The sequence below is a fragment of the Homo sapiens genome, chromosome 11 (assembly GCF_000001405.40).
Source record: "Homo sapiens chromosome 11, GRCh38.p14 Primary Assembly".
In the NCBI taxonomy this organism is placed as follows: domain Eukaryota; kingdom Metazoa; phylum Chordata; class Mammalia; order Primates; family Hominidae; genus Homo; species Homo sapiens.
In genome coordinates, this window is record NC_000011.10 from 93,741,670 (window position 1) to 93,765,630 (window position 23,961).

At 41.2% G+C, this 23,961-nt stretch overlaps 1 protein-coding gene across 22 annotated transcripts, besides 3 other annotated features; it reads left to right on the forward strand.

The window, feature by feature from the left end:
* C11orf54 (chromosome 11 open reading frame 54) lies at window positions 3-23,080 on the forward strand. 22 transcript variants are annotated; one of them, NM_001351986.2, is made up of 10 exons: window positions 3-59; window positions 294-472; window positions 5,633-5,779; window positions 8,677-8,775; window positions 12,013-12,086; window positions 12,267-12,368; window positions 13,541-13,717; window positions 15,647-15,796; window positions 18,073-18,189; window positions 19,846-23,080. In NM_001351986.2, exons 3-10 carry the CDS (start codon window positions 5,725-5,727, stop codon window positions 20,017-20,019), a joined length of 948 nt encoding a protein of 315 aa, NP_001338915.1. In that variant the 5' UTR covers window positions 3-59; window positions 294-472; window positions 5,633-5,724; the 3' UTR covers window positions 20,020-23,080. The 22 variants fall into 22 exon arrangements, with proteins under 22 accessions (NP_001338915.1, NP_001272996.1, NP_001338918.1 ...); NM_001286067.2 differs by having other exon boundaries at window positions 294-425; window positions 5,628-5,779; NM_001351989.2 differs by having other exon boundaries at window positions 294-397; window positions 5,628-5,779.
* Window positions 124-809: an enhancer, noted in NCBI's record as "NANOG-H3K27ac-H3K4me1 hESC enhancer chr11:93474959-93475644 (GRCh37/hg19 assembly coordinates)". NCBI's record gives its function as "activates a minimal SCP1, AML or CMV promoter by ChIP-STARR-seq in primed H9 embryonic stem cells {active_cell/tissue: H9 hESC(primed)}" and the evidence as "EXISTENCE:reporter gene assay evidence [ECO:0000049][PMID:30033119]".
* Window positions 576-695: an enhancer, noted in NCBI's record as "active region_5399". NCBI's record gives its function as "activates an Ori minimal core promoter by ATAC-STARR-seq in GM12878 lymphoblastoid cells {active_cell/tissue: GM12878}" and the evidence as "EXISTENCE:reporter gene assay evidence [ECO:0000049][PMID:35858748]".
* Window positions 1,216-1,755: an enhancer, noted in NCBI's record as "H3K4me1 hESC enhancer chr11:93476051-93476590 (GRCh37/hg19 assembly coordinates)". NCBI's record gives its function as "activates a minimal SCP1, AML or CMV promoter by ChIP-STARR-seq in primed H9 embryonic stem cells {active_cell/tissue: H9 hESC(primed)}" and the evidence as "EXISTENCE:reporter gene assay evidence [ECO:0000049][PMID:30033119]".
* Window positions 23,081-23,961: the final 881 nt, after the last annotated feature.

Genomic DNA, 23,961 nt, shown 5'->3' on the forward strand with positions numbered 1-23,961 from the left:
GCGGGGTTGGCCTAGGCGAAGATCCGGACTCTGGGTGTTTTGCTACCGTGACCGTTTAGGTGAGTGGAATAGCCAAGAACATTTCGGCAAATAACAAAAACAAAACGTGCGGTCACTTGTGAGTGGATGAGAACTGTGAGGAAACAGCCTCTCAGCCCGGTTCGTTTCCGGTGGTCTCGCGTTTGCTGAGCTGTCGCCTGGCTTTCTAAATCTGGTCCCGGGTGTGTGGCGAGGGTGACGGGTGGGATGTGTGCCTGAGTGTTTTGTAATCCTTTGTCTATTTCTGCCTTCAGAAACCCTTGTGTGTTAAAATATTGGAGAAGGCTCATTCTTTGACCATGACTCGAAGTGTGTAACCTTTGTGCTGGACGCCAGTGTTATTCCATAGCACGCCCAGGTCTCCTCCCCACTTTTGCACCTGTTTCGTAAGCTCACCCTTTCTGCCTCCCAGGAGTTGGCTAACATGTCACAAGTGAGACCTGTGGAGGATTTGTTTTTCCTAAGTTTCCTCCTACATCCCCCCTGCCCCACACCATTAGTTCCTTGACCGGTTCCTGAGTTAAGATTAAACAGTGTAAACTAGTTTAGTTTTGGTGGGGTTTTTTTCTCCCAAAGTAATTTTTTTTTTTTTGAGACCGAGTTTCGCTCTTGTTGCCCAGGCTGGAGTGCAACGGTGCGATCTTGGCTCACCGCAACATCTGCTTCCCGGGTTCAAGCGATTCTCCTGCCTCAGTCTCCCCAGTAGCTGAGATTACAGGCGTGCGCCACCATGCCCAGCTAATTTTTGCATTTTTAGTAGAGGCGGGGGTTTCTCCATGTTGGTCAGGCTGGTCTCAAACTCCCGACCTCAGGTGATCCTCCCGCCTCGGCCTCCCAAAGTAATTTTAAAAAGGAATGAACTGGTTTGATTTTTCCGCTTTCAAAATTCTGTTTTCATATGATAAACCACAAAAATCAGTAAAGCTGTCTAGTCTTATTTTATAGTTCACATTTTAGGATTGAACGGGCCTTAAAAGTAATCTGGTCTCTTTACCTGCTTTGCTCCATAGTTTGGACAATTCCGGGGATAAAAAGTCCGATCCTTTAGGCAGCCCACTGCATTTGATCCACAGGGTCTGGGCAATGACGAAGCTCCAGGACTGGTATGGCATGTCCCTCACTGCCGTATTCAGCAGCAAGCCTAGCTGTGTAATTTGTGAGGCTCAATGCAAAATGAAAATGCAGCGTCCCTTGTTCAAAAAGAAGGGGAAAAGTGCTATTAAAGGGAAGGAACATTTAACTCCTAATGCAGAATCATTGAAATTTCACATTTCATTTTGTATTTTTTCTTTTTTCTTTTTTTTTTTAGAAACAGAGTCTCGCTCTGTCGCCCAGGCTGGAGTGCAGTGTGGCCCGATCTCAGCTCACTGCAACCCCCACCTCCCGGGCTCAAGAGATCCACCCACCTCAGCTTCCCAAGTAGCTGGGACTACACGCGCCCGCCACCACAACCGGCTAATTTTTGTACTTTTAGTAGAGACCAGGTTTCACCATGTTGGCCAGGCAGGTCTCGAACTCTTGACCTCAAGTGATCCGTCTGCCTCGGCCTCCCAAAGTGCTGGGAGTACAGGCGTGAATCACCGCGCCCGGCCACATTTGGTATTTCTCTGTTTGTGTTATAGAGACAGGGTCTTGCTCTGCCACCCAGGCTGGAGTGCAGTTGAAGCAGGATATTCCTCTGACCCCTTCGTGGGTCTTGCGGCTGCGGTGCCTCACTTACTTAGCCCACGGCTCTCAACTCCTCGCGGGAGGGGGGGCGCGAGTGAATGAGGCGGGAACTGGAGTGCTGGAAGCCACGAACTCCAGTCACCCAGGCCTGCTGCGCTCCACCCTTTATGGGAGGGTGCGTGGGGGTGAGCAGATGCTGGAGCCGGAGCGAGCGCTTTTGGTCGCCGGTAGGAGCGAACTCCATGCAGGCCCTGCGGCTGTGTCTAGGGGATGCCCGCGACCCCTGAAGACCCACAGCCTGTCTTACAACCTGTCATGGTTGTGAAAAGTTTTGAGAGAACGTCTGCACAGTGTCTAACGGTGTCTGGTATATAGTGTGCACTCAAATGGTAACCAGTTTAGTTGCGATAGTTGGTCTACCCCTCCAGGTGTTAACCTCTGCAGCTCCGTTTCCCTTCTAGACCCTATTTCTGGGCCATCGACTCCCACCAATTAGGCAGGAAAATACTGTTTGCCTCCATCTGGCCCAAGGCTGTATTCCTGGAGTTTATGTGAGAACCTAACTCCTTTCTCAGCTCCAACTGTAACCCTCTCCCCACCTCCAACACACACATAAACACTCACATACACATGCTACCACACTGCCTGCTGTGCCATCAGCCTGCCTGAAGTTCACATCATTTTAGAATTGGACGGGCCTTCATAATTTAAATTTTATTATGAAAAAGTGATAGTCTAAGGAACTCATTTGATTTTTTTGTCTAAATGTCAAATATAGAGTAGAACGCACAAGTGTCTGTTATAGAAATACTTGAGAGTCCTATATGCACTGTTATCCACAACCATTTAAGCACTTATCCACTAATCCCTAATAAGTACCCCTAATAAGTACATTTCTAAACCAGTTATTCAAGCTACATCCTCCCAAGATTGGACTTTGTTTCTACTTTGGTAGGGACATAAATAAACGGAAACAACTGACCTAACTTTTTACTAAAGAGATAATAAAGGGAATAAAATTAAGATTACATTTGGATTTTAACTTGTGTTCTTATTCCTACTGCCAGCAAAAATATGTAAAGTGTTTTTATCATTATAAATGAATATACTATTCATTGTGCAGATTTTGACATGTTCATAAATAAGTTAGTACCCAATGTTTGCTTGATAAAGAATGTGATAAAATGTTAACATTTGGGAAATCTGGGTGAAGAATGTATAGGAATTATTTGTATGTAATATTTGTCAATCTGAAATTATTTAAAAGAAAAAGTTAAACTGTCTCATTCCTGAACAATTATAAATTATTCAACCCAAAACTGAAGGGGGCCTGCCCCTCCACACCTGTGGGTATTTCTCGTCAAGTGGGAAGAGAGACTGAGAAAATAAATAAGACACAAAGTATAGAGAAAGAACAGTGGGCCCAGAGGACGGGCACACTCAGTATGCGAGGACCTGCACCGGCACTGGTATCTGAGTTCCCTCAGTATTTATTGATTACTTTTCACTATCTCGGCAAGGGAACTGCGGTGGGAGAACAGGGTGATGGTGGGGAGAAGGTCAGCAGGAAAACATGTGAGTAAAGAAATCTGCGTCATAAATAAGTTCAAGGGAAGGTACTGTGCCCAGATGTGTAAGTAGGCTAGATTCATGTTTCTCTTTACCCAAACATCTCAGTGTAGCAAAGAGTAACAGAGCAGTATTGCTGCCAGCATATCTCCCCTCCAGCCACAGGGTGGTTTTCTCCTATCTCAGAATAGAACGAATAGTCGGCTTTACACGGAGACATTCTGTTCCCAGGGATATGCGGGAAACAGAGGCCTTCCTCTTTTACTAATCCTTCTCAGCACAGACCCTTTATGGGTGTCAGGCTGGGGGACGGTTAGGTCTTTCCCTTCCCACGAGGCCATATCTCAGGCTGTCTCAGTGGGGGGAATTCTTGGACAATACCCACGCTTTCTTGGGCAGAGGTCCCTGCAGCTTTCTGCAGTGCATCATGTCCCTGGTTAATAGAGAATGGAGAATGGCGATGACTTTTACCAAGCATACAGTCTGCAAACATATTGTTAACAAGGCACATCCTGCACAGCCCTAAATCCCTTAAACCTTGATTCAATACAGCACATGTTTCTGTAAGCACAGGGTTGGGGCTAAAGTTACAGATTAACAGCATCTCAAAGCAAAACAATTTTTCTTTGTGCAGATCAAAACGGAGTTTCTTTTGTCTTCCTTTTCCACATAGACACAGTAACAGTCTGAGCTCTCTTTTCCCCACACAAAACTATGTTTAAAATAATTTAAGTATGATTATATAAGATTTGGGGGCCGGGTGCAGTGGCTCACGCCTGTAATCCTAGCACTTTGGGAGGCCGAGGCAAGTGGATTGCTTGAGCTCAGGAGTTTGAGACCAACCTGGGCAACATGGTGAAACCCCGTCTCTACTAAAATACAAAAAATTAGCCGGGCATGATGGCACATGCCTGTAATCCCAGCTACTGGGGAGGATGAGACAGGAGAATTTCTTGAACCTGGGAGGCGGAGGTTGCAGTGAGCCGAGATCATGCCATTGCACTCCAGCCTGGGTGACACAGCGAGACTCCGTCTCAAAAATTTGGGACCGTTAATAAACAGTTATATATATTTGGGAGATTAGATTACATGTATTAAATCAAGAACAATAAAAGCTGGTATTTGATAAAGTACTAAAGTAAATATAACATCCTAAATGTTTGCAATAGAATGATTATAGAGGATATGTTGTTGGAAAGTACCAGAACTAGAAACCCAGTTTCTAAGCAACCTGTGAATCTTTGGAAAATTAGAAAAAAAAATTTGGAAGAATATTTCAAATGGCTGAAGATCACCGTTCCACTTGCTAAATAGGCATGTTAAGGGCAGAGGCCACTCAGATTAATGAAGTGTTCTATTAACAGTTTTAACGAGAACTCCTGCAGTACTCTTAGAAACACCCTTAAGAGTCTTGTCTGTGTTCCCTGTTGTGATTGGCTTGGAGTAGGATACCTGTCTACCTCATATTACTTATATTTTTCCCTGTCTTCATTTTATCTCCCTCTGGTTGCATACTTCATCACTGAACACTTAAGGTAAGATACTAATCTCTGTGTATGTGCACTTATTTGTTACAAAGTATACTTGGCATATATTTTATTTTTTAGTTGCAATGATAGAAAAGCATATATTTAAATATCAAATTATAATTGGATAGATTATCAGAATTGAACATTAAATCTATTTACCAAGAAAGTATGTTTATTTGTAAATGAAAATAAAAATTTGAATTTCAAAGGCTAATCATTCCATAAAAGTTTCCATTTCTATTCGTAATTTAAATTTTATTTTGAAAAAGTGATAGTCTAAGGAACTCATTTAATTTTTGGCCTAAATGTGAAATATAGAATAAAAAACACACATATCTATTACAGAAATACTTGAGATCCTATATGTACTATACAAATCCTATATGTACTGTTATCTACAACCATTTGAACACTTATCCATAAACCCCTAATAAGTACCTTTTGCTTCAAGACCTATATTCCTTAGACCCACCATTAGAAAATTGGATGTTCACTCCAGCTATATGATATTTAAAAAAAAAATGAATCAGCTGGGAGCAGTGGCTCACACTTGTAATCCCAGCATTTTGGGAGGCAGAGGATGGCTTGAGGCCAGGAATTCAAGACCAGCCTGGGCAACATAGTAACACCTTGTTTCTATTAAAAAATTAGTTTTAAATTTTAAATTACAATAAAATAAAGTGTAAGTATTAAAAGGCCACTTGTCTATTTCTCACTTGGAATATTAAATGCTGGAAGCTGTGTTTGCCTGTTTATGAAGATAGAAACCTAAATGCCCTTTTGTTCTGTTTATATGTTTGAATGCTCAATGTTCATTTCCAGAACAGAAACTGTTCATACTTGGTGCGCTGTGGACTCTTGTGATAATTAACCAAGAGTAGCTCTATTTGTCCAACCTCACACCTAAAGAAGAAAGAAAATGGCTTGTGCTGAGTTTTCTTTTCATGTACCAAGTCTTGAAGAGCTTGCTGGAGGTAAAAACAATATTAACTTTGGATTTTTAAAAATTATCCCAAGAGAAAATTCTTTTAAAAAGATTCTAAGATCTATCTATATCTTACTACTTATGTATATCTATATCTTACTTATCAAAATAATACTTTTGGTACAGAATTCATTTTCCATTTCAGTATCTGTTCTGTCCCATTTTTATTGAGAAAGTCCAAATTCTGTCTAAAAAAACTAAAATTATAATTTATAAATTCTTTTTTCTTTCACTTATAGATTATTGATGATACCAACTTTACAAGATGTAAATGATTAGTAATCCAAGACTTAAGCATGTGTGATGCCCAAAGAGTCGCAAAATTTTGCTTTAACTTTTTTCACTTACATTATTCTTTAAATGTATACTCTACTGTTGTATGTTAATCATATTCCCAATATAATTCCCCCCCACCACTGATAATGACAGACTGCCAGTGAACTTGCTTTGATTTAAGGCAGTTTCCCAAGATAAATTAGGAGGGAAGATAGTCAAAAAAAGGAAAACAAAAACGAGTACAAAAATGAAGCCAGGAATAGTTGTTATCCAAAACTGTAAAGTCTGTCAGAATACTAACCTTTATTTAACAACCTCTAGGTTCTGTTCTAATGGTAACTATAGAACCTTCGCTTGTTTCTCAAAATGTGATGTTCTGGTAGTTCATTTGTCATCCTGATAAGATTGAAGTTAAGAAATAGACTCATTTTTGCTTTGTTGTAACTTTCCTCTTATAATCTTTTTTTTTTTCCCTAATTGAATGGTAGCTAATAAACAATCTGTATTGTTTGGCCTGTATTTCTTTTTCATCAGTCTGTCTTCCCTAATATGACAGGGCAGTTAGGAATTTTTTCTTTTTCTTTTTTCTTTTTGTAGACATAGGATCTTGCTCTGTTGCCCAGGATGCTCTTGAACTCCTGGCCTCACTCGATGCTCCTGCCTCGGCCACCCAAAGTGTTGGGATTACAGGCATGAGCCACCATGCTTGGCCAGATTTTTTCTTTGATTGCTTTTCTAGAATCTGTTTTCACTTTTGTGTTTGTTTCTATTTTCCTTCTATATGTGCAGGATATATTCAGAAAAAGTAGAAATTTTATGGCCTGGCACAGTGGCTCATGCCTGTAATCTCAATACTTTAGGAGGCCAAGGTGGACAGATCACTTGAGGTCAGGAGTTCAAGACCAGCCTGGCCAACATGGCAAAACCCCATCTCTACTAAAAATACAAAAATTAGCTGAGTGTGGTGGTGTGTGCCAGTAATTCCCGCTATTCAGGAGTCTGAGCTACAAGAATCACTTGAACCTGGGAGGCAGAAGTTACGTTGAGCCAAGATCGCGCCACTGTACTTCGACCTGGGCAACAACACGAGACTCAGTCTCAAAAAAAAAAAAAAGAAAGAAAGAAATTGGCAAGGTGCGGTGGCTCATGCCTGTAATCCCGGCACTTTGGGAGGCTGAGGCAGGCAGATCACGAGGTCAGGAGTTCAAGACCAGCCTGGCCAACATGGTGAAACCCTGTCTCTACTAAAAATAGAAAAAATAGCTGGGTGTGGTGGCGGGCGCCTGTAACCCCAGCTACTCGGGAGGCTGAGGCAGGAGAATGGCGTGAACCTGGGAAGCAGAGGTTGCAGTAAGCCGAGATTGCGCCATTGTACTCCAGCCTGGGTGACAGGGTGAGACTCCATCTCAAAAAAAAAAAAAAAAAAAGACATTTTGTAAGAACTTTTGATCCTTAAAAGTACATAGGCTGATGCAGTGGCTCATGCCTATAATTCCAGCATTTTGGGAGGCCAAGGTGAGCAGATCTCTTAAGCCCAGGAGTTTGAGAGCCACCTGGGCAACAAGCCAAAACCCCATTTTTACAGAAAATACAAAAATTAGCCAATCATGGTGGCATCCACCTGTAGTCCCAGCTACTGGGGAGTTTGAGGTGGGAGGATTACTTGAGCCTGGAGATCAAGGCTGAGTGAGCCAAGATCATGCTGCATACCACTGCACTCCAGTCTGGGCGACAGGGTAGGTAAGGCTATCAGAGTGAGACTCTGTCTCAAAAAAAAAAAAAAAAAAAAAAACTGTTGAGGCTAGGTGTGATGGCTCATTGTAATCCCAGCACTTTGGGGGACCCAAGGCAGGAAGATCACATGAGTCCAGGAGTTCGAGACCAGCCTGGGCAATATAGCAAGACCTGGTCTCTACATATAAAAGAAAAAAAGAGAGAGGGAAATACATTGGTCTTACATTAATAACTTTGAGACACCTATGCTTTTTTACATTGTTACTGAGGTATAACTATCTACAGTAAAGTATGCTAATCTTGAGTGTACAGCTTGATGAATGTTAACAATAGTTACACCTATGTAACTACTATCCAGATCAAAATGTAAAATATTTCCAACATCCCAGAAGGCTCCTTTGCACACCTTCCCAGTCAGCCTTGATCCATTGCCTGTTTCTGAGATGCATAAGGTGAAGTAATATTGTATGTAGTGTTTTGTGTCTGGCTGCTTTGTTCAACATATTGTCTGTTACCTTCACTGAAGTTGTTACATGTGATTGCTTACTTTTTAAAAAGTTTAAATGTTTGCATTTCAGTTGGTTTTTGGAATCTTCTCTCAAAAAAGAAGGTAATCCTCACCCTCACACAAGTGCAGGCTGTTTATCTTCAACAGTTGAAAATCACTGTAGAGGAAGTATTTATATATCTTAGTCTACGTTGTATCTTGTGATTATGTCTAATGTCTAATTATATTCATTAATAAGACCATTTCCCCCTTCTTTTTTATTATACAAGTTGAGATTGGGAGTGTGTTGAGAGCCACATACCACTTTTGATACGTGGTAGCCAAGTTTTTACCTAATGTTAAATAATCTTATTCCTTGTCTTTATTAGTTATGCAGAAGGGGTTAAAAGATAACTTTGCTGATGTCCAGGTCTCTGTAGTTGATTGCCCTGATTTGACTAAGGAACCCTTTACCTTTCCTGTAAAAGGTAAGCAATTTTTGCAATTAGCTTTTGTTTTTTAGTCATAATCTTTTTCTGAAACTAGAATTATTTTTAAGGACATCTTAAATTATCTACAAATAAAGGATATTGTCACAACATTTAGGCTAAATTGTGCCAAATTTCTGTGCTCACTCTTCTGATATTGGTTAAATTTCATTTCATACTCTTGTGGAAAAGGATTGTGTTTTATTCACTTATGTAACCTTCACAGATTGTAGAATAGATATCCAATAGGTTAGAATTCTTTGTATCACACGAGAGTTTTGCTTTTAATTGCTCAGACTGTTATGGAAACTGATTTTAATTTTTATGATTTTATTTATTCAAGACCAGAAGGGATCCTAAAAGCCTTGTATTTGAATGATCTGTTAAAACTAATCCTTCAACAAATTTGCCAAGTGAGCATCCACTGTTTGAAGTGAGAAGGAAGGGAAATTAGTATTAGAAGAATAAAATAATTTGTCAGTATGATAGATAGTTAGTTGATGTTTCAGTTTTTACAATAACACCACAAGGTAAGTAGTAGCCCTTGTTTATAGATGAGAAAACTGAAAACGAGAGAGGCTAGATAAGCTCAGTGTAAATCATAACCAGGATTCAAATGCAAGTCTGTTTCCAAAGTCTAACCCCCTCCTGTTATACCCTATTATGATGAGGAATTTGAGGATAAACACTCAAAGTGTTCTTTTTATTATGTAATTAACATCTTTGCTAAAAAGGAGTTTGCCATAGAAATTCTGGACTCTAGTTCTGTCTTAGAACAAACCTGACTTTGAGATAACATTAGCATGAGGGGATTTGAATTGAATGTTTTTTGGGGGCCTTTACAGCTTAAACAATCTTTGATTTTAAGTAGAGCTGTAAATTCTAGAAGGCTTGTGTACCATGTGGCAATTTCTTTTAGCTTCTTCAAAGGATTTAGCATAGTACTTTTTTATAGTTTTTTTTTTTTTTTTTTTTTTTTGAGACAGAGTCTCACTCTGTCACCAGGCTGGAGTTCAGTGGCGCAATCTCAGCTCACTGCAACCTCTGCCTCCCAGGTTCAAGCGATTCTCCAGCCTCAGCCTCCTGAGTAGCTGAGACTACAGGCATGTGCCACCACGCCTGGCTAATTTTTTGTATTTTTAGTAGAGACAGGGTTTCACCGTGTTAGCCAGGATGGTCTCGATCTCCTGACCTCGTGATCCGCCCACCTCGGCCTTCCAAAGTGCTGAGATTACAGGCGTGAGCCACCACGCCCAGCCTTGATTTTTTTAAAAATATGAGTGTAATGTATTTCCCCTGCTAATTAAGTAATTAACTAAAATTAAATAAAGGTCAGGAGACAGAAGAGTACAAGAAAGAAGGAAAAATGGTTAATCTTTTTTTTTTTTTTTTTTTTTTTGTGTGTGTGTGTGTGAGATGGAATCTCGCTCTGTCGCCCAGACTGGAGTGTGGAGTACAGTGGCACAATCTTGGCTCACTGCAATCTCTGCCTCCCGGGTTCAGGCGATTCTCATACCTCACCCTCCCAAGTAGCTAGGATTACAGGTGTGCACCACGACACCTGGCTAATTTTTGTATTTTTAGTAGAGACGGGGTTTCATCATGTTGGCCAGGCTGATCTCGAACTCCCAGTCTCAAGTGATGTGCCCGCCTCGGCCTCCCAAAGTGCTGGGATTACAGGTGTGAGCCATCATGCCCAGCCAAAATGGTTAGTCTTAATTTTGTCATGCAGAGTTATGCTTGGAAGAAGTGTTTTCTGGTCAGTAATTTGTGAGTCTTTAAATTGCAATACTAGAAGCCAGATATGCATCTAATATGTGTATGTATGATCTTTCATAAACATAGGAGTTTAAGACCAAACTGGCCAACATGGTGAAACCCAATCTCTACTAAAAGTACAAAAATTAGCTGGATGCAGTGGTGTGTTAGACATTTTCTACATGAACTGGTCTTGCTAAGATCACCAGTGACCTTAAAATGTTTACTAGTACTATTTAACCTCTCCACGTATTTCATACTGCTTGGCCATTGCTGCCTGACATTCTCCCCTAGGTTCTATCTTCTCTATCCTTGTTTCACCTGTTCTTCCTTTGTGCCTTTCCTTCCTCTTTTCTTCCATATTTTCCTGGTTCCTTTTTCTTTCTAATAGTCTCTTAAATATTGATCTTTTCCAGAATTCTTTCCTTAGCCTCTTCTTATTTCTAGTAATCTATCTGGGTATTTTTTAAATCCACTCTTATGGTTTTAATTACTACCTGAATATAACTTTGAAATTTGTACATCTCACCTAGATCTCTCTGGGTTTTTTTTTTTTTTTTTTTTGAGACGGAGTCTCGCTCTGTCACCCAGGCTGGAGTGCAGTGGCGCGATCTCGGCTCACTGCCAGCTCTGCCTCCCAGGTTCACACCATTCTCCTGCCTCAGCCTCCTGAGTAGTACACCCAGCCTCCTGAGTAGTACGCCCGGCTAATTTTTTGTATTTTTGGTAAAGATGGGGTTTCACCGTGTTAGCCAGGATGGTCGCGATCTCCTGACCTCGTGATGTTTTGTTTTTTGAGACAGAGTCTTGCTCTGTTGCCCAGGCTGGAATACAGTAGCACAATCTTGGCTCACTGCAACCTCTGCCCCCGCCGGGTTCAAGCAATCCTCCTGCCCCAGCCTCCTTGGTAGCTGGGATTATAGGCTCCCGCCACCATGCCCAGCTAATTTTTCTATTTTTAGTAGAGATTCACCATGTTGGCCAGGCTGGTCTCGAACTCCTGACTTCAGGTGATCCACCCGCCTCAGCCTCCCAAAGTGCTGGGATTGCAGGCGTGAGCCACCATCTGAGAATTTACATTGTACCAGAGCAAAATATTTTAAATTAAAAAACAAGAAACAATTTTAGCCAAAAAAAGGAAAACCACCCCAAAATAGATTTTTTTTAAAGAAATAAGGCGTCAAAGACATTCTAGAAACCTTACCCAATCCAAACTTTGGCCCCAGTTCTAACCCTTGCCCTTGCCTTGTATTGCCTTTATGCCACCAACTTTATAAGCCATGCTTGGTTATGATGATTATTAGAGACACAGGTACTTAAAATAGGACAGGGGTTCTAGCCACTATGTCTTCCAATCCCTGTTATTTGTAAAACTTTATGATAATGGAGAAGTTATATACTGTTGGCATTTTATTATTAAATTAGATGTTTGCCTGTTTTTAAGGTGGCTTGTGTTTTTGTTTTTTGGTTTTTTCTTAGGCATCTGTGGGAAAACTAGAATTGCAGAAGTTGGAGGTGTGCCTTACTTATTGCCTCTTGTAAACCAAAAAAAAGTAAGTACTTTTACTCTGCATATTCACATGAAGATTGTAGAAGTTGGGTTGATTACTGTGTTTATTATTAGAAGACCTGTTGATCAGTTGGCAAGGAAGTGCTAATGGATCAGTAATAAAAGGTAAACCAGGGACTTTGTACAAGTTGTGACTTAAATAATATTTTTTCCTCTTCTATAGGTTTATGATCTGAATAAAATTGCAAAAGAAATCAAGCTGCCTGGAGCCTTTATTCTTGGAGCAGGAGCAGGTCCATTTCAGACTCTCGGGTTCAATTCTGAGGTCAGCATATATAAGAAAATTATTTTACTTTATTGGTTTGACATTTGGTTTGTCTTTTTGCTTTTAGTGCCAAAAATCCTACTTTCTGAGTGAATTGTAAATCTCTCTGCAGGTTTGATACTACTTGATGTAGATTTCTGCTATAGCACACACTCCAACTGGACTAACTGTAATGGAGTACTAACTTGTAGTTTTAGATTTTCTTAGGTCATAGCTTCAGCCTTAGATAAATGCAGGGTTCTATGGTATTCTGTTGAAGGTTCTGGATTATAAAATATTTATATTCTTACAGGATTCCGAGCTTATCTATAAATCTTTGCTTTGGGTATGCAGGCAGCTTTGGATTAGAAGATGAATGGAATATTAGTGATCTAGTCAACTCCTTCTTCCACACCAAATAGTAGGAAACTATCACAATAGTATGATGGTTATTTATGAAAGTTAATAGTTATTACTAGTATATATTATTACCATATGAAAATATTACTGTTTCTTTGAATCTCATGAATACAAGACTTCAGTCTGCTCATTCTCTCATAACCTCTTCAGATATGAATAGTAGTCATACAAGTTCTTTGCAGAAACATTAGTACAATTTGCCTAGTGTTCAAGTTAGGAAAAAAAGTTAAAAATTTAAAATAAGATATTTAACGCAAGTTATAGATACACTGTAAGAAATCCAATAAATATCTTTTTTTTTTTTTTTTTTTTTTTTGAGATGGAGTCTCGCTCTGTCGCCATGCTGGAGTGCAGTGGCGCGATCTTGGCTCACTGCAACCTCCACCTCCCAGGTTCAAGCAATTCTCTTGCCTCAGCCTCTTGAGTAGCTGGGACTACAGGTGTGTGCCACCACGCCCAGCTAATTTTTGTATTTTTAGTAGAGACAGGTTTTCACCATGTTGGCCAGGATGGTCTTGATCTCTTCTCTTGACCTCGTGATCCGCCCCCCTTGGCCTCCCAAAGTGCTGGGATTACAGGCATGAGCCACAGCGCCCGGCCTATAAATGTTTTCCAAGTTTTTTATGTCTAAAATTAAATATTATGTATTTTATGTTCTCTTATTAGGACTTGAACTAAAATGTCTTAAAAGGATTAAATGTTTTGTAACATTATTCAAGATATTCTCTTTGCAGAGATACAAAGATTGACTAATTGCCTCACTTTCTTTTCAGTTTATGCCAGTTATTCAGACAGAAAGTGAACACAAGCCTCCTGTAAATGGAAGTTACTTTGCCCATGTGAACCCTGCAGATGGAGGGTGCCTACTGGAGAAATACAGTGAGAAATGTCATGATTTTCAGTGTGCATTACTGGCTAATCTTTTTGCCAGTGAAGGCCAACCTGGCAAGGTGATTGTGTCCATAAAAATACAATATTCCCTAAATGTTCTCAGAAAGCTAAAAATGTGAACTTTTACTGCCATAAATATGGTTTTGCTAAGAAAATTAGTTTCCCACTTTGGGAGGCCAAGCTGGGTGGATAACTTGAGGTCAACTTGAGGTCAGGAGTTCAAGACCAGCCTGGTCAACATGGTGAAACCCCATCTGTACCAAAAAATACAAAAATTAGCAGGGTGTGGTGGTGTGTGCCTGTAATCCCAGCTACTCGGGGGGGCTGAGGTGAGAGAATCGCTCAGACTCGGAAGGCAGAGGTTGCAGTGAGCCAAGATCATGCTACTACCCTCCAGTCTGGGCCACTGAGTGAGACTCTGTCTCAAAAAAAAAAAAAAAAAGAAAATTAGAGCTTCCTAAGTCAAAGCTCTTTAAATAACCCAGTAATGAAAGGTTCAGAGAGTATGACAGGCAGAGCAAAAGTCATCTTTAAGGTTAAGAATAATATGGCTGGAGGCCAGACGCGGTGGCTCACGCCTGTATTCCCAAGCATTTTGGGAGGCCAAGGTGGGTAGATCACCTGAGGTCAAGCATTTGAGACCAGTCTGGCCAACATAGCGAAACCTCGTCTCTACTAAAAATACAAAAATTAGACAGGGAAGGTGGCACATGCCTGTAGTCCCAGCTACTTGGGAGGCTGAGGCAGGAGAATTGCTTGAACCTGGGAGACAGAGGTTGCAGTGAGCCAAGATTGCACCATTGCACTCCAGCCTGGGCAACAAAGCAAGACTCTGTCTCCAAAAAAAAAAAAAAAAAAAAAAAGAATAGTATGGCTGGCACAATGGCTTATGCCTATAATTCCAGTCCTTTGAGAGGCCAAAGCTGGAGGATCACTTAAGGCTGGCAGTTTCAGACCAGCCTGGGCAACATGGCAAGACCCTGTCAAAAAAAAAAAAAAAAAATTTTTTTTTTTAATTAGCCAGGTGTGGTGGTACATGCCTATAGTCCTAGCTACTCAGGAGGCTGATGCAGGAGGATCCCTTGTGCCCAGGTGTTTGAGGCCGCAACGAGCTATGATCACACCACTGCACTCCTACCTAGGTGACAGCAAGACCTGTCTTAAAAAAAAAAAAAAAAGACTACTTAGTAAGCAAGACCTTTTTCTGAGAACTAAAAGGTAATAGAATATTAATTTGGGGAGTGAGTTTGTCATCTACATGAACCATACAGCTAAAATAAATAATGCCTACTTACAGGTAGTAAATAGGTTATTTGCTTCTTTCTGATGAATCACACATTGCTCTAGATAGAAATGGTGGTAGCAAAAACTTACAGCAAGAACAAAGTAAGGAAAACTAATGCCTTACTTGATATTTACTTCCTATTAGTACACAAAAATATGATTTCAGTGTTAGCTTTTGTGAAGACTCTCCAGTTTTGGAAGTAGAGATAGCCTCTTCAGCTACTTTGAGATAAGAGATTGAGAAGTGAAAATACTTAACGTCCAAGTTGTGGAGATAATACAGAATTTTAAGGGAAGTGAGAAAATGTAATCATTTTCTCCTCATCCCCACTTACCAAAGGTTAATTCCTTTAACCAAAGAATTACCAAAGGTAATTCTCAATCTTTGACTGCCTCGACACGTATGTTAAGAGTCTCTAGACTCTCTGCACTGAGAAACTTGTCTTTCTCAGTTTCTCAGTTCAAGAAAGCATGCTTAAGACTTACTAGTAAATTACATGTAACTGATAAGTATGTGTGTGTGTGTGTGCATACATATATATATGACTGATCAAAATTCACGGGATTGCAACATCTCAACTCAGATCTGGGGGCTCTAAGCAAAGAACAGAATATTTGCTTGATAGAATTAAATTATATAATGTTTTATTTCAGTAGTTATTTTGCAGCATAGTCAATGGTATGCATCTTTATGTCCTCTATAGGTAATTGAGGTGAAAGCCAAAAGAAGAACTGGACCACTTAACTTTGTGACTTGTATGAGAGAGACCCTGGAAAAACATTATGGAAATAAGCCTATAGGAATGGGAGGTACTTTCATAATTCAGAAGGGAAAAGTGAAGTCTCACATTATGGTAAGAGCCCATGTGTGCATACATGCATGAAGGAGTTTGTGTGTGTGCACTTACTTAAGATCTTAGGATTTTTTTTTTTTTTTAAACGGATCCTTGCTCTGTTGCCCATGCTGGAGTGTAGTGGCACAATCTTGGCTCACTGCAACCTCCATCTCCCGGATTCAAGGGGTTCTCCTGCCTCAGCCTACTGAGTAGCTGGGATTATAGGCATGCAGCATCACAACCGGCTCATTTTGTAGTTTTAGTAGAGACAAGGTTTTGCCACATTGGCCAGACTGGTGTCGAACTCCTGACCTCAGCTGATCCACCTGTCTCGGCCTCCCAAAGTGCTGAGATTACAGACGTGAGACGCTGCACCGGGCCAGATCTTAGGATTGTAAAGTATGTGTTGGGAATTCTACATTTGAAGACACTTTAAACAAATCCTTTTTATTATGATTGTATTACTTTAAAATTTAAATGATAATTTTATAAATCAGATTGTAAGATAATATCTTTGTCCATGTTAGTATATTAGAACTTTATTTTGGATATGTTTGTTTTTAAGATCAAGATAAATTCAAGGCCTGCAGAGTGACTCATGCCTGTAATCCCAGCACTTTGGGAGGCCCAGGTGGGAGGACCGCTGGAGGCCAGGAATTCAAAACCAGCCTGGTCAACATAGTGATGATGGCAGCGGCAGGCTCTCTGGAGCGGCTGCAGCAGGGAGGCACGGCTGAGGCTACACACTCTATGGAGCGGGTGGGAGCTGAAGACAGGTGGGAGTCCTGCCCCTTCCGAGTTGGCGCTGGAGCTCCGTTGGTGCCGCTGCAATCGCCCAAGCCATGGCTGTAGTCCCTGGCATCCCTGTGCTCTCCCAGTGGGAACAGGCGAGAGCCCCAACTGCCCAGGCGCAGCTGCAGCAGCTCAAACCCGCGGCTGCAGACCTGGGTCTCCCGCTCCACGGAGCAGGCAGGAGCCCTGCCTTCTCCACACAGCTGCAGCTGCCCAAACCGTGGCTGCGGACCCAGGCATTCCTGCATTCTTGGGGGTCTGGGAAGGCCCCCACTGCTCTTACAGGCTTGGAAATGCCTGCTCCCACTGCCTGGCTTCTCCCTGCTGTCGGCGCCTGCTCCGATCCAGGAGCAAAGTCAGGCAGAGCCCGGTCGCTGTCGCAGCCCAGCCAGGTGTGCACACGCTCAGGGCACTGCTGACACACCAGCCCCCTGCCGTCCCGGCCCCTTCTGGATTTGGGGCGCTGACACGAGCGTAGAAGGGAAGCTGAGCGGCGGCTGAGAGCAGCTCCCCACTGGCCTTCAGGCACCCCTTGGCACCTACAGCCTGGATTCCGTGATCGGCAGCAGGAGGCAGACAGGTTCCGGGGCAGAAGGGGGCGGGTTTCCGGTGAGGCCCCACTTTCGGGCCAGGGAAGGCCTGAAGGCTGGGGGCCCAGCTGCCAATCCCACACACCAGAGTGGAAACTTGTGGTGCTTTTTCCAGGCCCACTGTGATCATCCCACTGCACTCCAGCCTGGGTGACAGAGCCAGACCCTGTCAGGAAACAACAGATGCTGGAGAGGTTGTGGAAAAATAGGAATGCTTTTACACTGTTGGTGGGAGTGTAAATTAGTTCAACCATTGTGGAAGTCAGTGTGGTGATTCCTCAAGGATCTAGAACTGGAAATACCATTTGACCCGGCAATCCCATTACTGGGCATATACCCAAAGGATTATAAATCATTCTGTGATAAAGATACACGCACACATATGTTTATTGCAGCACTATTCACAATAGCAAAGACTTGGAACCAACTCAAATGACTGGATTAAGAAAATGTGGTACATATACACCATGGAATACTATGCAGCCATAAAAAAGGATGAATTTATGTCCTTTTCAGGGACATGGATGAAGCTGGAAACCATCATTCTCAGCAAACTATCACAAGATCAGAAAACCAAACACCCCATGTTCTCACTCATAAGTGGGTTGTTGAACAATGGGAACACATGGACACAGGGAGGGGAACATCACACACCGGGGCCTTTCGGGGAGTGGGGGACTAGGGGAGGGATAGCATTAGGAGAAATACCTAATGTAGGTGACAGGTTGATGGGTGCAGCAAACCACCAGGGTACGTGTATACCTATATAACAAAACTGCATGTTCTACACATGTAACCCAGAACTTCAAGTATAATTAAACAATAATAATAAATAAGTAAAATATATTTTTAAAATTTTTAATTCTTAGTAATATTCAGTATGTTTACCTATGTAATTATCTTTTGTTGTAGCCTGCAGAATTTTCTTCCTGCCCCTTGAACTCTGATGAAGAAGTGAATAAATGGTTGCATTTTTATGAAATGAAAGCTCCTTTGGTTTGTCTACCAGTTTTTGTCTCCAGAGACCCAGTAAGTCTGTGTCTGTTTTTTATATTATACTACAATGATAATGCTTGATTTTTAGGATAATCTTTAAGAACTAGGCACTTTTGTGTTTGTTGTTGTTGTTGTTTTGAGACAGAGTTTCACTCTTGTTGCCCAGGCTAGAGTGCAATGGCAGGATCTCAGCTTACTGCAACCTCCGCCTCCTGGGTTCAAGCGATTCTCCTGCCTCAGCCTCCCGGGTAGCTGGGATTATAGGCATCTGCCACCATGCCTGGCTAATTTTTGTATATTTAGTAGACGGGGTTTCACCACGTTGGTCAGGCTGGTCTCAAACCACTGACCTCAGGTGATCCACCCACCTCTGCCTCCCAAAGTGTTGGGATTACAAGCATGAGCCACCATGCCCGGCCATGTGTTGTTGTTATTTAAGAATGAGGGTAGCCTCTAGAATTATTTTGGAAGATAAGGGAGCTCTTCACCATCCTATGAGTTAGGCAGAGCAGATTTTACCTTTGAGAAAATGAAGGCACAAGCATTTTAAATAACACCCAAAATTATTTTATTAAATAGCAGGTGTAGTTGGGCATGGTCACATGCCCCAGTATTCTTAGCTACTGAGGAGGCTGACTTGAACCCAGAAGTTTGAGACCAGCCTGGGTAACAGTATAATCCCCATCTCAAAAAAAACAATTAGTAGAGTCACAACTAGGATTCAGGTCTCCTGTCATCTTGTTTGGTGTTCATTATATTATAATACTATACGCTAGAAAAAATATTACAGACCAATTCAAAGCAAATACCTACTAAAATATTGGTCATATCTTCTCTTTTTTTTATTTTTTGTGACAGAGTCTCGCTCTGTTGCCCAGGCTGGAGTGCAGTGATGCAATCTCGGCTCACTGCAACCTCCGCCTCTTGGGTTCATGTGGTTCTCCTGCCTCACCCTCCTGAGTAGCTGGGATTACCGGTACTCACCACCACACCCGGCTAATTTTTGTATTTTCAGTAGAGACAGGGTTTCGCCATGTTGACCAGGCTGGTCTCGAGCTCCTGACCTCAAGTGATCCGCCCGCCTCAGCCTCCCAAAGTGGTGGGATTACAGGCATGAGCTACTCCGCCTACCCTGGTCATATCTTGATCCAGTGATTACATGCCTAGGATATTATACTTAAATATATGCATAATTGTGTAAAATTACTAGTTAAAAGGTTATTATTACAGTATTGTTGTAGTAGCAAAAGAATTAGAAATAATGCAAGTGTCAGTTGAGAAGTTACATACGCAATAGAATACCATGCAGGTATAAAAGAATGAGGAAGCTCTTTTATGATTTCATATACAAAGATCTCAAAACTATATTGTTACATGAAAAAAAGTTACATGCAGAAAAGTGTGTACAAAATACTACATTTGAGTAAAAATAAAAGTAAGTATTTATGGAAGGATATACAAGAAAATGCTTACACTGGTTACCTGCTAGGAAGGGGAGTGAGTGGTGAGGGCAAGAGAGAAGAAGATACATTTTACTGAATACATCGTTTTGCCCCCTTTGAATTTAGAACATGTGAATGTATTACCTATTTAAAAAATAAAAACTATTGCAACGTAAAAAGTTATCCCTCCCCCTTAAACTCTAATCAATAATTTGAGTACTAACATATTGTTTGTCTGTTATCTTAGGGGTTTGATTTGCGACTGGAGCACACTCATTTTTTTAGTCGTCATGGAGAAGGTGGACACTACCATTATGACACTACTCCAGATATAGTGGAATATCTTGGATACTTCTTACCTGCAGAGTTTCTCTATCGCATTGATCAACCAAAAGAGACGCATTCAATTGGGCGAGATTAAATCAGCTGATACTTATTTAGAAAAAGAAATAATTAAGGTTAATTAATTGATTGACTTATTAATTAATACTGATATAAAACCAATAGAAATGATCCCACAGGCCAGGCACAATGGCTCATGCCTATAATCCCAGCACTTTGGGAGGCTGAGGCAGGAAGCACACTGGAGCCCAGGAGTTTGAGACCAGCTTGGGCAACATAGCAAGACCCTGTCTATTTTTTTAAAAAAGTAAAAAATAGAAATTATCTCACTACTTAAATCCCATTTTTTTCACTTCATATGAAAGAACATATTGATAGTATATTCTATATTATTTCATAGATCTGTCTGAAAGAGATTGGGAACAAAAATATCTAATTGAGATATTCTTTAATTTTTTACATAGCAGCTTTATTTTTTTTATTCTGTAGTATCAGCGAAATCAGTCATGTTTATACCTTGAATATAAATATCAGGAATCATGCAATTATTTCTACTATGTATTTAGTAGTATCTTATATTTGTATAACATTATTACATTTTGCAAATTAGTATCACAACTGCTAAGTAGATGTTTCTGAGTATTAGAAAAATCAGTGTTATTACCTGCAGGATATTAAAAAACATTTGAAAAAGAGAAAAAGAAAAATCAGTGTTTAGAAATGTTGATAGTTATTGAATCTTTGAATTGAATTTTAAAAATCCATTCTAGTAATCAGAGTATACTTTTTTTATAGAACAAGGTGGCAGGTGGGGAGCCCTTTACCCTTCTGGTGAAGTTAAACCATAGAAGTTTACAATTTGCCTTTCACAAACATTAGCAGTCCGGGCATGGTGGCTGAAGCCTGTGATCCCAGCATGTTGGGAGGCCGAGTGGGAGGATTGCCTGAGCCTAGGAGTTTAAACCAGCCTGGGCACCATGGTGAGACCCCATCTCTATTATTTAAAATGTTTCTTAAATAAAAAAAACACAAACATTAGCAACTAGTTGGCTAGCCATAATTCCTCCCTTGTTTCGATTGCCAGTTAGAAGCAATTTTTATTTCACTGGTTATTTGCAAGAGAAGGGGTAAAAAAACAGCATCAGAGTGCAACACTGAAGTGAGCTTACTTTAATTTGTAAGTGAAGCTGTTGCTGAACATGACCACTATCGTTGCTGAAATATAAAATTATACTCACTGATTGTAATGGTTGAAATTTTCCTGAATAATCATTAGCCAAAGATCAACTCTCTAATGGTGCTAATGGCAATCTAGCTAATGTGCAAATTTAGGAAGTCTTCAGTACTAAGTACATAATTTTCAAATAATATTTTTTAATTGTCTACTTTGGATGTTAGCTATGTCTTGTGAGTATAAATTCCAATTTTAAGCACTATTTTGATGCAAAAAAATGAATAAAAAATTTAATTTATGATATGTTTGTAATATCTTACCTCCAGACAAAATAATATTAATAGTCTATCATTTAACAAATATGTATTGAACACCTACCCTTCTCTCTGGAGTGTACACTTCATGTGGGCAAGGGCCTTGTTCACGACTGTAGCACTAGTGCCTTTAACTGCTAGCAAAGTAGCCACTCGGATGATTATACCAAACACTTTACTAAAGCTGGGGATCTGTCTAGTGGGGAAGACAAACAATAAATATATAATATGTCAGGTGGTATTAAATGCTATGAAAAGAAAGGAGTAGATGGACTGTAAAGGAGGATGCTATTTTTTTGTGGCCATCCCGCACTGAGACAGGATGCATTCCACACTCAAAATTTGGTTCACATGTCCAGACTGATAGCCAAGTTCAGTGGCTCACGCCTGTAATCCTAGTACTTAGGGAGACCAAGGCAGGAGGATCACTTGAGGCCAGGAGTTCAAGGCCAGCCTGGGCAACAGAGAGAGACCCCCATCTCTGCAAAAAAAGAAAAAAAATTTTTTAATTATCTGGGCATGGTTGTGCACACCTGTTGTCCCAGCTGCTCAGGAGGCTGAGGCACGAGAATCACTTGAGCCCAGAAGTTGGAGGCTACAGTGAGCTATGATTGTTTCATTGCACTGTAGCCTGGGCAACACAGTGAGACCCTGTCTCAAAAAGAAAAAAAAAATGACTGATGAAGCCACACACACACCAACAGAGTATGAAAGGGTTGTTACTCACATAATGAAGCTTTCTGGGGAAAGCAGGGCAGCTCCTAAGCAGGATTTGACAACAGGGAAGGAGACTGACTTGGAGTTTTTTGGTGGTTAGGGAGTAGGGCCAGAGTGATGTTTCTTGCATGTGGTTTGAATTTCCCACTGGTATCAAAGAAGGAAACACCCAGGCTTGCTTGCTTTATTTTTTTAAAGAGATGGTGTCTCACTATGTTGCCCAGGCTGGGCTCAAGTCATCTTCCTGCCTCGGCCTCCCAAAGTGCTGGGATTACAGGCATGGGCCACCATGTCTGGCGAGCACCCAGGCTTTCTTAGCTTGCCAGAGGTGTAGGGCATAAGGGGACGAGGGGTGGGATAAGGCTTAAAAGCCACCAGCAGTCAAACATAAATTAAGTCAGATTCTTAATTACAGATTTCAGATCTGATTTCAGATCAGAGCTTATTTCAGGTCAGATTCCAGGTGTAGAGATCATCTGAAGCAGTCCTGGGCCTCTTCACACTACAGATACCAACACTGCCTTTACTCTTCCATTAGTGTCCTCCAAAATGGGGTGCATGGACAGCAGGTACACATGACCTTCCAAGGGGTGTGGGAATATTAGAACATCTATTTATATATTTTATTTCGTCCTTTTAAGTTTCTGTGGTTTTGTGTACATTTCTTACGTTAGGGATTTCAGTTCAAAATTGTATTGCTGATAGACACAATTCAAAAAGCTTGGAGACCAGGTACATTCACACCATCTAATAGAGATGGGGGAAAAGATCAAAATGCTTTTCTTTTTAAATTTTTTCTTAGTTTTCTTTCTTTATAGAGACAGAGTTTCGCCGTGTTGGCCAGGCTGTTCTCGAACTCCTGGCCTCAAGTGATCTGCCCGTCTCAGCCTCTCAAATTGCTGGGATTACAGGCATGAGGCACTGCACCTCACCCAAAGTGCTCTTCTTACTCTTACATTCACTCAGTATAACACAGAAAGCTTCTGTGACCAGATGCATGGGGGTTTTTCCCACACACCAAGCAATTCTCCAGCAGACATCAGCTGGGGGTCCTATAATTTAATTCAATTCTAACACTATTTACTTGGAGATAGCGTCAGATCCCACAGTTTAATGGTTCAATCCTCCAAGACTGCCTCCCACTTCCGATGCCAATCACAAGCTTCAGGTTGTGACCTGTACTTTTGACCAACCCACTGTAAATCGGGGTCTCTATGCCTACCTCTTCAGGTTTGATTAATTTGCTTAGAGCAGATCACTGAACCCAGGGAAACACTTTACTTATATTTTCCAGTTTATTAATAAAGGATATAATAAAGTATACAGATGAACAGCCAGATGGAAGAGATGCATATGGAAAGGCCAGCAGAAGTCCAGAGCTTCCACACCGTTTCTGGGTGCCCCACCTTCTAGGCATGTCCACCTGTTCAGCAATTTGGAAGCTATCCAAACCCTTTTCTTTTGGACTTTGGCTTTGTTTTTGTTTTTGAGACAGGTTCTCACTCTGTCACCCAGGCTGGAGTGCAGTGGCATGATCTCTGCTCACTGAAACCTCTGCCTCCCAGGCTCACGCAATCCTCCCCTCTCCGCCTCCTGAGTAACTGGGACTAACAGGTGTGCGCCATGACGCCCAGCCAATTTTTGTATTTTTCGTAGAGACGGGGTCTCATCATGTTACCCGGGCTTGTCTTGAACTCCTGGGCTCAAGTGATCCACCCGCCTCTGCCTTTCTTTTGGGATTTTATAGAGGCTTCCTTATGTAGGCAGAATTGATTAAATTATTGGTCACTGGTGATAAGTTCAACCTTCAGCCTTT

What these genes read in the sequence shown, in the direction of transcription:
- C11orf54 (XM_047426832.1), top strand. Translation starts at nt 5,725, where the DNA reads ATGGCTTGTGCTGAGTTTTCTTTTCATGTACCAAGTCTTGAAGAGCTT. An exon ending in CTCTTGTAAACCAAAAAAAA is followed by an intron (nt 12,087 to 12,266) that starts GTAAGTACTTTT and finishes CCTCTTCTATAG; the next exon opens with GTTTATGATCTGAATAAAAT. An exon ending in AAGTGAAGTCTCACATTATG is followed by an intron (nt 15,797 to 18,072) that starts GTAAGAGCCCAT and finishes CTTTTGTTGTAG; the next exon opens with CCTGCAGAATTTTCTTCCTG.